A 13,242-nucleotide genomic window follows, 5' to 3' on the forward strand; every position below is an offset into this window, starting at 1 on the left:
AAATGGATCTGCTCAACATTTCTAGCTCAAGTAGAGTCTTAGGCTAGATGGCAAAAGTAGTTTAGCTGCTAAGACCCTTTGGCTGCATCATTAGACCAGCATGTAATTATATATTTTATAGGTAGCCCAGGGTAGACTGAAATCATCATTTCCTAAAACGGACTTAGCAATTATCTTGGTAGATAGGTGTTTGTTTATTGAGTCTTATCACTTTAGAATTAAAGAGCATGTCAAGAGAAATACTTTAAAGATAATCCCAGAGAATTTTCTATTATTCCCTGAATAATAGGAGAACAGATTTGTTTACTTAAAAGTTGTGCTTAGAGGCCAACAGATAACGAAGTTGTACAGATAGCCTTTGGCACTCATGGCATGTAACAAAGTGAAAATTTTTGGTTTATGGAAACTAAGCCCAAACTACCATTTTGCACATCATTACAGTGATCCTGATTTGGACTGTTGCTAGCCCACATATATCCACTATAAGAGCATTTTCCTGCTCCACTAAACCCTAGACTATTGTGAAATTTTTGTTGAATTCATTAGTACCAATTTAACCTATTAATTACTGATAGAAAATACAAAAAAAAAAAAAAAAACTATGGGACCTTTGTGCCCAAGAGTGACTTAGCTAGTTTGTATGACGATTTCTCTGTGCTAATAAGTTGACTGGGGAAGTATAAATGACTAAAGGAGTAGGGTTACAAAATCACATTATTGAACACAAAAACAACTTTTTTTTTCAGCATCACCTTGATTTATTTTCCTAGTATTTTTTTCCTCAGATGGAAAAATAATTTCATCAAGAAAACAAATGCTTCTGCCAAAGTGAAAGAATTTTATGTCTTAATGCTTTTCTTTAAAAAAAAAAAAAGTCAACATTGAACTAGGACATGCTCTGCTTCCCCACCCCCATTTTGCTGACTACATTTTAAAAAATCTATTGGCAGAAAACAAGATATTTTCTTCAAATAGAGTGATTATGTTTTATTGCTATTTTGTTTAGTATATATTTTTCTCAATTGGGAAAAAAATCTAGGTGAAAAAAATTACCTAACAAGAGAAGTAGTTTACATAGTCATAACATTTAAATTGCTGCCCAAAAAATGTAAAAAAAATTTAATGTAAAATGTCACATAATTTCAAAAAACTTACCTCAATTGTCTATCATTTATCATGTACTATAAGTCAACTTCCTAAATAAGATTACAGTCCTTTATTATAAGCCCCTACTGGTACTATAGTATACATTTAAAAAACGCTACTACAAAAATTTTCTTTTCTTTTTGTTTTTGCTTATTGTGTACTTAGCTATAGATAATTTTTGAATACAAAGCCTACGGTACATATAAATGCAATAGTTAACTGATCCTGTTTGCTGATGTCCTTTTTATGTTCCACAGGTGACATCTTTTAATCCAGCATCTTCTCCTGTTTCTTGCCTTCCTTTTTCTTCTTCTTAGATTCTGCTGTGATTACAAAAAAGAGAGACAGAAAGAGAGAAAGAGAAAAATGTCAAGTTACTAAATTGCAGGGAAGAAATAGCCACATTTCTTATAATTGACCAGACTGATACACAAGTTGTTTGCTCTTGGTAGTTCTCTTGGTAAACTGAGAAAACACTATGTGTATGTGCATGTGTGTGTGTGTGTCTGTCTGTCTGTCTGTCTGCTTTTGACAAAAGAGTGCCTGTGAGAGTGGGCAGGAGGAACATAGCCTGCTTCTGTGTTAATTCTACAAATGCCTGTTATCTTACTGGTTGCCTTTGTTTGATAGGCAAGATATTGACTTGGGGTCCTGCTTAGAAAATAGAAATACAGCAGACATCTCTTAGTAAATTACCCAGGTCACTGCTCAATGGAAAACTACAAGAGCTCTGCTTAGCCCCTCATTTCCCCCATTCCCTTTCCGTAGGACTCTTTGATAGTATATTTTCTGAGCAAACAATTGCAAAGTGGTTCCACTCCAGGTCGGCCCTCTGCTTATATATTTGGCCAGCTATCTATGTAAAAAGAACCGGCTATAAACCATATGTACTCTCTCTGGAGCTTTGCCTACAGGAACTCCTAGTTTGGGGTAAAACAAATGGAATGTGTCAACATAGGCTGTAGGAAAGTAAAACATTGAGGATTTCAATCAAAAGACTCCATTCTTTTCCATTCAACCATCTTTCCACTTCTCTTTTCCTAACAGGAGAATGCAATGTAGAATAGAACACATCTAATTTGGCTCCAAAGACAAAAATGGTCAGAATCACTGGGTTAGCAAGTGAGGGGATATTGCTAAATATTTCTGAGCCACTTCTCCAATTTGGTCCATAGTAGTGGCAGAAATATACTGGTTAAGTACAGGCTCTGGAGTCAGACTGCTGAAGTTTAAATCCTGGCCACATCATTAAGTTACTGTGAGACACTGAGAAAGTTACTTAATGTATTTGTTTCTTAGATTACTCATCTTTAAATAGGCATATGAAAAGTACCATAGCATATGATAGTAAGCATACGGTTTATATCCAAATTAAACCTGTTCTATAAAATCTACTGAGAACAGAACATGATACAATAGCATGTGCTCAATTAAGGTTAGCATTTATCATTAGGGTGATAATAGAGCAAGAACAAGAGATCATTACCCTGTATAATTAAAATCCTTAATCATTATCAAGGCATATTGATTGAGCAGGTCAATGAATGTGCTAAGCAACATAGGGTCACTGGGACAAAAACAATGACCAACAGGGATGAGGTCATTGTTCACTGGAGCATACAGCCTGTGTCCAAGAGGACCATAAGACTTATGAAGACAGAAGATATGATATGATGCCAACTAGAAATATTGTATATTTCTCAGCTCATACTTAAGTAGAGCTGGAAACTTTTCCATTTCTATATACTATCTTCATGACCTCTTCAAGTAGGTTCCAAAGTCCATTACACACTAGTAGTATTTCTGTTCAATGTAATTGTCCTAATCTTCCTTTACTCAAACTTCAAGGGTACACTATATGCAAGTGGGTCAGCAGTTTCTAAACCCAGGCTAAATTGTTGTCCATAATTGTATTCATTCCATTCATGACTTCCCAAGTTTGCCCCATTTCTATACTAAAGAAATTTAACTTTTCACGCTCTCTATTTTTGTTTGTTTTCTCAAATATCTTTCTTTCACCCTATGAGAGGTGTAATGACCAGAATTTCCAAGTGAAAGATACATTTTAGATCAAAGGAGACATTATGTGTAATTTCCGAAAAATTATTCAGTGTCTGAAAATGTAATAATTCCCAATTTTTGGTCAACATTTTAGGCAACAGCTGTATATTAGGATGGTATCTTCAGAGAACAATGTAGGATTTCAACTGAGACCTAACTCTGGTTTTCCCTCTCTCAGTTTCCTCATGTCCCTTCCTGGAAAACCCTCAGGAACTTGTTATCTTCTAGGTCTCCAGTAGAGTGGATATCTAAGTAGCAATTTTCATATTTTGGCTAACATGTTCCTATTTCATACATAAGTCTGAGCAGATGACATACTAACCAGGTTTTTGTATAAAAGTTTCATAAAACTTAAAATTATTCTGAACATTGGACACTATTTGATCTGTTAATGTAAGGTTGTCCATTTCAAAGAACACTTTGGGAATAGGAATCTGTCACCAAATTCTTCTTGGTAAAGGCAAGAGCACATTCTTAGGTAACCCTGAACCTGACATTGGTGTCTTATTCCTTAATTGACAACTTGCTAAATACCAGGAAATCAACAATTTGCTTATTAAATCTGTACAATGTCAATCAACTTATTCTTCTGACACAAGTGGCAAGTAATCATGGTACTGTCCGGACACCCTGCAGAACTTGAGTCTACTCTGGGCTCAATCTAAAGAGAAAAATAAAGAGTCTTCAGTAAAAAGTAGTGGAAGGAGGGAAGAATTCATATTTGCAATAAGGTCAGTTTAGTTTTTTACATAACAAAGTGTTCAAATTTTTGTGAAAAAAAATCAGGTCAGTAATATTGCTTCCAATCGAAAGCAGTTTTTTGTGACTTTTATGTACATTCAACTGAAAGACTAAATGAGCTTTGTCACTGCTTATCTCTGTGGCCTCAAAAACTTATTAACAACCTCTCAATCTTTACCTAGTATACATGATGGGTTTAAAATAGTATCACAAAATCTATGACCTAGAAAGAACGTGGTCCAACGCCCTTACGTAATAGATGAAGAAACTGAAACATTCACATTGCCCCTCTTTACTTCCATCTTCATACTTATGCTTATTTTAGTTCCCCAAATACATCTTTTCTCTTTGTCTGTTTTTCTCTCTAGTCTCTGGCCTTCAAATTCACTCTTCATTTCATCAACCCCACACTTCCACTACGACATGTCTCATTAATGCCTCCCATCCTTCAGGTACCAGCATTGACATCACTTCTAGTTTGCTGACCTCGCAGTGTGAGTTAGAAGTTGTTTCTCTTTCCTGCTCTTGTTAGAGCACCTATCTCTAGCATTGTAACTGCCACCAAAATACAAGCTGCGAGAGGGTGCAGTTTCTACTCTCTGTTGTACCTCCAACCCATGGCACAGGGCCTTGTGTGTAAAAGCTGATTAGTAAAGCTTTAGTGAAAATAAATGGATCCATAACATGGTGATAATATGTCTCACCCATCTTCCTTATGACGGTTCTTTGACTTTTCTTTGCTTCTTTCCATCTTATCCTTTTCATATTATTTCCTCTTGGCCTGAGTGTTCCTTCTCCTACTACCCCAATTTGCACAGTCAGCACCTAGTCATCCTTAAAATCTTAGCCTCAACTGCATTTTCTCAGGGAAGCCCTCCAAGAGCTCTCAGATAAGCAGATTCCGTGCACAGACACTCTCATTGTGCCTCCCATTGATTTTTCCAAAACTAGAATTGAACTATTAATTTTGTCTCTAATTATTTGGTATGTGTTTTTCCTTTCCTATGACAATAGAGACCCTATCTGTATGTTGCAACTGTATATTCTGTGCCTGAGATATAACAAGCATTCATGAAATACTTGTTGCATGCGGAGTGGATAAATGAATACTTGAATGGGAAATAGTTCAACCCATTACTATATAGAAAAGAGTATTTCTCAAGGAAAGTAAGGAGTGTAAATCCAATTAGAATCTTGTCAAATTTCAGTCTATCTTTAAAGACAAATATTTTATGAAGAAGAAAACTTACAAACATACGTATATGAAATTTATCCAGGTTTCTTAAAACTTTGTCTTTAGAATAGAGACCTGATTAAACTCTGTGGGTAAAACTGTCCCAGTTTAGTCGCCTTTCAAGGTTAGAGAGAAATGTTTACTATGAGATGTGGGTCACAAATTAGCCTGGAGCAGGGCTATAATTAGTTAAAGCCAAGTGCTTTTTTATTGAAGTCATATAGCGGCTACTCTAGAAGGTTCTGAGAGCCAATAGGATTCCTACCCTGATGTGAACAGTAGGGCACTTTAGTTCACATTGAACAGAGCCAAATCAAGAGAAGGAAGTACACATACACCACACATCAAATAACACCCCGGGCCACATGTCCCTTGTCCCTGCCTGGATTGAGGCTGCAAAGCAGAAATGGATATAAACAGAGAATGAGCCATTGTCAACATGTGAAAGTAAAGGGCACCTGCCTGAAAGGTGACTTGTTCTGTTCCTACCAGGACATCACTGCACTGGAATCTCACAGCAGTGCCCTGGGTAGATTTTAACTTCCTGGGTTTTCAAACTTTCATCCTTTCTTTGGCCAGTTTTTGAGTTGATAGAGGCTAGTACTCATAATAATTGGGATACAGAGATGAGAAAAAATAGTAGGTGTGTATTTTTGTAACTTTGTGGGGGGTTTTTAAATACAAATACATTGTTTTAAGATACGTTTGAAAGTGTTCAGAAAGTCCTAAGGCTTTACTAAGAAAAAGTACTCTAGAAAGGATTCAGGCTTCTTACATTGCTATGAATCATAGGATCCAAAGGGCCATGTTCACCATATTCAATCTAGAAAACTCAGAATTTATCCAAGGAAATTCTTTGAATGCATAACAACTCCTGATAAGAAAGAAGACAGGCAGTGATATGGTTTGACTCTGTGTCCCCACCCAAATCTCACCTTGAATTGTAATCCCCATAATCCCCATGTGTCAAGGGCAGGACCAGATGGAGGTAATTGGATCATGGCGGCAGTTTCCCCCATGCTATTCTGTGATAGTGAGTGAGTCTTATGAGAGTTGATGGTTTTATAAGTGTCTGGCATCTCCCCTGCTTGCATTCATTCTCTTTCCTGCCACCCTGTGAAGAGGTGCCTTCCGCCATGATTGTATGTTTCCTGAGGTCTCCCCAGCTATGTGGAACTGTGAGGGAATTAAACCTCTTTTCTTTATAGATTACCCAGTTCTGGGTATTTCTTCATAGCAGCACGAGAATGGGCTAATACAGTAAATGCAGTGAGAAGAATGAGTAGAAATTAATATGAGCCGTGTTACAATTCTGAGCCCATGTGTTTTTTTCTATGCTGAATAGAAAACAAAATCTTGATAAATGCTAACGTATTAAGTGACACCATGGCCTTTAGGTACGGTGAGACAATGAAAAAATCATGAAGTTTTGTTAGAATCATACTAAGAACTAAGCCCTAATCTAGAGAATTGGTTCAAATAGATGTTTGCCACTTACCAGCTCTGTGATCTTGTGCAGATCAATCATTCTGCCTCTGTTTCCTATAAACTGGGGATAATAAAACCTATATCCTCCTCAGAGGGCCAGTGTTAGTATCATGTGAGATTATGTCCTCTGCAATCTCATCTTACCACTAATGTTCAAAACACATTAATTTATTGATTCAGCAAATATGCACTCCATCTCCACTGTTTTAGACGCTAGGGTATAAAGGTGAACAAGACAAAACTCTGCCTTCACACAGCTGACATTACAAACAACACTTTCAAGGTGGCTTTATGGGAGAGTCTTTCAAAATTGTAAAGTGCTTTAAAGTACATATTTATATTAAAGATCATGGGTATGTGGCAGCTATTTTTATGGTTTTGAGACCTGGTTTTCTTGTTGCTAATTTACTACTACAATCCAGAGACATGTGTTGTGAAAAATAGAGCAGCCACAAGGAGAATGAATTACTAGAAAGAAAGAGTATACCTACAGTAGATTTACCCTGAAGGAAAAGGAGGGTTTCTCCTCTTGGGGTTATTTCATTCTTCTTAAAAAATATTAATTACTTGTCTCATTTAAAAAGTATTACAGACTCATATAAAAACCAAAGAAACACACACACACACACACACATACATATATGTATATATGTATACATATATATGTATATGTACACGTATACATATACATATATATGTATATATATACACACACACATACATAGAGAGAGAGAGATTACTCATAACTTCACAATGTAGAAACAACACTTTTAACGAGTTCTATTTATGTTTTCTTTCTATGACTTTACTTAGGAATATATTGACAGTTGATATAGTATTTTATGCTAAAAATTCAATTGTATCTATTTTCCATGTCATTGCATATACTTTGAAATGTGACCAAGTAATATTCCTTTATATTATCCTACTCCATATATTTTGTAACCTTTCATCTTTTGTACATCAGTTGGATAGTTCTGACCTCTTGTTATTATAAATAATGATGCAATGCTGATTTTGTTCACAAATCATCGAATGCTTAAATTTTGCCTTAGTATAGATTATTAGAAAAGGATGTACTGGATCCAAGGGCAGGACATTTTAAAAACTCCAGATATGTGTCGGGAAATTTATTTTTTGAAAGGAAGTAGTAATTTAAATTCTTATCAGCAATTTATATGAGTCTATCACAGCAAAGTTACTCTTGAAAGGCAAATAATCAGACAACAAGCATCATCTGTTTTCTATCTTTTCACAAGCCTTTTGGAAATAGAATTGCCATGTAGTTGGTATAAGTAAACATCAACTCCCCACTTTCAATATTAAGAAAATCTGGGAGAAATCAGATTGGAAGTGGGCCTTAAGAGAAAGACATCTGTTTAAAGATTGTTCAAAGACCTTAAGGGGACATGTTTTTCAAGAAGTGAGAAAGTTGAGAATTCTGAAATAAGCTTATCTCATTTTCTCAGTAAAAGGTCTTGCTTTGATTACTTATTTTCAGATGGCCTGCTGTGTATACAGAAAAACTAAAAAGGAAATTAGGAGATGAAATGATTTCAGATTGAGGGGAGCCCAGATTTTAACTAAAGTGACTCAGGCCCTGTTCGCTGCTGACTTAAATAAAGTGTCTTTGGGTTATTAAAGCAGTGGGAGGAAGTATTGATTAGAATAGAAATACAAAATGTGCACCTTCTAAGAGATAGAATTCATTTTAGCTAAAAGAAGCTAAAATCATTCAGAAATGCACATTGCAGAGGTCAAGAGAGACAGCTGAAAAGGAACAGTTGGAGGCATACCATCAAGACCACTGAAAGTTCACTTTTGGAGACTTGTTCAATAAATCACAAGGACTTATCACAGAAAAAGGATCATATCCCTGTCAAACAGTACCATCGCAACGTAAATATGTTCAAAAGCCTGCATATCACCAAGATCCTTTTAATGCTTTGTGAACCGATTTAAAGTAACTCACCTGTGCTTAAGAATTAACTGCCTAGTCATCTAGAACTACCTAATCCCTCGCCCCACGTCAGCTATGCCTCAGAACTGATAACAAGGCTTGTCGAATTGTGAACATACAGCTCAGTGATTCAGGAACTAAAATCCAGGTACTGGTTGGCTAGGCTGCCTAACGTGGCACTGTTCATTCAATTTCCAAATATTTCAGTTTAAATGAGTAGCATAAATTAAGTGGCAAAATACAGAAACATATTTCTGTTAAAAATCAAAAGTATCATCTTTTAAACATTTGCTTAATGTGTTATTCACAGATGTAGTTCAGTCCAATGCCTATGCAATAATTTTGTTGTTTCTTCTTTGATTTCCTATTTTGTAGCATCAATTGTTTCATTTCCTCTTTTATGGACTCAATGCATTTACTTCTACGATATGTGTGGAAAACATGTGTACATGCATACTGCCCCTCAGTGCTACCCACATGCTGATACTTTGCTTCATCCACACCTCTTCTTTCCCTCACTGTCCACCTTCCTCTTCATTCATCAACTCTATTTCATAGCAATACCTTCTACTCCTTCTACTCCTGCTCAACTATCTGCTCTTCTGCACTCATTTGCTTTCTGATATCAAGTATACGTGAATAAAAGATAGTACATATATTTGTGTCTAGATGCAGACTAAACACATCTAGACAATTTCAGGAACCTGTTTTGTCCCCCCCACTCACTTTGGGAGGCGGCTCAGCATTTAACTGCATCTCCTAAAAACAGAAAGTTTAGCTATGAAAGCACTAGTGAATAAAGTAGATTTAATAGAAGGTTTAGTGAAGATGAAATTACTTCATCAACCATGCAGAACAAAATTAATAAAAGTCCCCAATATGTCAGTTATTTTTCAAATCAACTCACCAGTTGCATCAGTAGACGAATCCATCTCCCTTCACCCAAACACTCCTCTCTACCATCTTCTCAAACTCTCCCCACTCCTGTGTCTCCATTTTCCCTTCTCTATAAGAAGGAATTGAGATATCTATAGCTTCTCCAAATCATAAAGGGCCCATTCAGGATGCACTTTCTTTACACAGTAGAGTCAGGGGTGGGGGAATCAGCCACACATGAGCGTGTTGGGATCAGTCCCTGATCTGACCCATACATACATGTATACCAAGTAGAAAATTGTCATTTAAACTCCTAGTTTTAGCTCAAAACATGTATACCATCCTTATTTGTTATTTACAGACACACATACACATACACAGACAGAGAGAGAGAAAACCACAGATGTGGATTTAATGCCGAGTTTCTTTTGTTTAGCAAAAGCCTCTGCCCTTCCTCTATCTGTAGACCACTCTCAAGATTTTATACTTCTTGACAGTGACCATCCCACACCACAGATTCATCGACCTCTATACCTAAACACAAAAGAACGATTTATCTCTAATATGACATTTAAATATTTAAGAGCTTATTTCTGCAATAATGAGGAGCTTATTTCTGCAATAATGAGGGCAGAGGTAGAAAATTTGCCTTATTATAAACTATTGTAAATTAGAAATGAAATGTAGTATTATAAACAGTAATAAGTAGTTCACACTTAGCTAATCATTATTTTCTATGATCATATCTAATGTTTAATATAATATAGCCAGTACTACTAGGAAATCAAATTTTAATCTGTGAAAAAAGGGCAAAGTTTGAACTCCAGTATATTTAAAATTTTAGTAGGTACAGTCCCATAAATGTTTTTCCTATTCATTACCAAATAAATCTTTCTTTTGGTTCAAAAAATTATAGATATAGATATAGTTAAATAGAATCAGTTATTATGGCCTGACTTGCATCCCTCCTGAAAATTCATACTGAACTCCTAACCCTTGTATCTCAGAGTGAGAACATATTTTAGAGATAGTCTTTACAGAGGCAATTAAATTAAAATGAGGGCATTCGGATAGACCCTAATCCAATATGACTGGTGCATTTACAAGAAGAGGAAATTTGAACACAGACACATATAGTGAGGACACAAGGAAAAGACAGCTGTCTATAAACCAGGAAGAGGGGCCTCATAGGGCACCAACCCTGACAATACCTTGATCTCAGACTTTCAGACTCCAGAACTATGAGAAAATAAAGTTATATTTAATCTACTGAGTCTATGGTACTTTGTCACGACAGCCCTAGCAGACTAATGCATCCGCGAATTCGATTTCAGACTATATTTCATTTTTGTGTATCCTTCAGAGCATATTCACTAGCTGTAGAGGTGAAAAATAGGATGTTAGTTTATTGTTATTTTTAAATTTGTCCTCCAGAATTAAATAATTTTTAAATTTTAAGTCATTTAAATATGTAACTTAGGTGCTAAGCAATATAAGGTTTTATGCTCACCAGTGATTTCACAAATCTTACTGCATTAATTCTTTCACCCCCCTTCAAACATGTCCTCCCAGCTGTAAGCAGGTGAGCTATTCCCCACCACGTGATTTCTTCTGCCCCAAAAGACCCAGCAATCTGTCTATAGCAGCAGCAGCAAAAGGTAGATCTGAAGATCTTTCTCTATACTTTACATGTTTTTAGACAGCAGCCTTCAGAGCAGCTTAATTTATTACTCTTGTACATCTAGGTGAAGATCTGAAAATGTTTTTTTCTATTTTCTGTAAGAGTAAAAATAATTTTTGAAAGCCTAGCAAGAGAAAGGATCATGAATGTGTTAACCTGCCATCAATATCTGTGGGCCTTGCCGCCTGCATGCATGAACACTAGGACGCTAGAACAATTTTACTTCCTTCTTGCTCTTTGGATTCCTGATGAGTTCTTCTACAAATATTGTTTACTCCTCTAGAAAAAGTCTTTATTATTTTATTTTCATGGCCTCTGTGCACTGAACAACAACAAGCTTGCTCTGATTTCCCTGTAGGTTTGCATCAGTGAGAAGCAGAGCAGACTGGGAGTGTGCCAAGTGTCCCCACCAGCAGTTCCAGTTACCAGGACAGCCATCCCTCAAATTGTGGTGAAGCACCAGAATTGCTAGGAATGTCATAGCGGAGGGAAGACAATCATGAATCCAGGCCAGGGCCCAGCCTGGGAGAGCTCTGGGTTAACAAGTCACCTTGCTGTTCGCCCTTACTCTCAAGGAACATAGCTGCTTTAAAGAACCCTAGATTGAAAATGCAGCACTAAGAGTGATCATTTGTTTTCAGAGTAATTTTTATACAAAGACAAGCTCAGGCCAGAAATTATCCAACAGGGCTCAATCAGTCATAAATAACTCTGAATATGCTTATACGAATGTTTAGGATTATCATGGAAACAAAAAACAAATTATTAATTTCTTTTAGAATACCTAAAGAGATCCGGCAGTGATCACTTGGTTTGGGAAGCACTGGTACAATGGAAAAGAACTCTGGAAACAGACTGTCCTGACTTCAAGTTCAAGACTGATCATTCACTGTCTGGGTAACTTTGTGCAAGTTGCAACCTTAGTGTGTTATTTTGTAAAATACAAATAAAACTACTTTAGCTGCCATGCAGCTTGAGTGAGACAATGCAGGCTAACGGCTTAGTATAATGCCTGTCATATCATAAATACTCAATAAATAGGATACACTTTTACAATACTCAATAAATAACAACAGGTACAACTTAAAACACAAGCAGAAAGCCTCAATTTGGAAGTTAGAAGACAGAAATGCAAAAGCTTCAGGAAGCAAAAAGGAGGTCCCGAAACCCAATAACTAATATGCAGCTTTCCTTAGTACTAATTACTCTATAGCTGTTTTGTGAGTACACAGCTAATGACCCTCTGAGCATGGAATGTGCCCAGGGAGATGAAAGCAGACACACAGTTTGAAGTAAACCTACAAATATTTATAGCTGCTAGTTCTCACAGCTGCCCCAGCAATTAGGACCAAAAATTCTTCAATAAGGAGGGGGAGTAAAACACACAAATGACTCTGATCCCAAGTGAGCTCATTGTGCCTTCACAGTGATTTCTCTACACATTTTTGAAGCCAGTGTGAATGATGTAGCCTAGTGAGCTAGACCAGGACAATTTAGTTGGATACATCATTCATTCATTCAAGTCAGTATTCTTCCTTGAGTTTTCTCATGGGCTAGGGACTATAAGATGTAATTTTCTTTTTTATTTATTTATTTATTTATTTATTTATTTATTTATTATTATACTTTAAGTTTTAGGGTACATGTGCACAATGTGCAGGTTAGTTACACATGTATACATGTGACGTGCTGGTGCGCTGCACCCACTAACTCGTCATCTAGCATTAGGTATATCTCCCAGTGCTATCCCTCCCCCCTCCTCCCACCCCACAACAGTCCCCAGAGTGTGATGTTTCCCTTCCTGTGTCCATGTGATCTCATTGTTCAATTCCCACCTATGAGTGAGAATATGCGGTGTTTGGTTTTTTGTTCTTGCGATAGTTTACTGAGAATGATGATTTCCAATTTCATCCATGTCCCTACAAAGGACATGAACTCATCATTTTTTATGGCTGCATAGTATATGATATAATTTTCAAAAGTGAATAAGTTGTAGTATACGAAGAGTTTGCCTGTTAGGAGAGGGAAACATGCCCTCGGTACAGCATAATGGAT

The 13,242-nt window shown here is 36.5% G+C and overlaps 1 protein-coding gene across 3 annotated transcripts in view; it reads right to left on the reverse strand.

The window, feature by feature from the left end:
* Window positions 1–734: 734 nt before the first annotated feature.
* The window catches only part of PTN (pleiotrophin), a 116,393-nt gene continuing 103,885 nt past the window's right edge, over window positions 735–13,242 (reverse strand). For 2 of the 3 annotated variants that reach the window (NM_002825.7, NM_001321386.2), the window contains exon 5: window positions 735–1,469. In NM_002825.7, the coding sequence (NP_002816.1) occupies window positions 1,414–1,469 (56 nt within the window). In that variant the 3' untranslated portion in view covers window positions 735–1,413. The remainder of the gene's footprint in view (window positions 1,470–13,242) is intronic. The other variant, NM_001321387.3, reaches the window with a different exon arrangement.

This window comes from Homo sapiens, chromosome 7, assembly GCF_000001405.40.
Source record: "Homo sapiens chromosome 7, GRCh38.p14 Primary Assembly".
In the NCBI taxonomy this organism is placed as follows: Eukaryota; Metazoa; Chordata; class Mammalia; order Primates; family Hominidae; genus Homo; species Homo sapiens.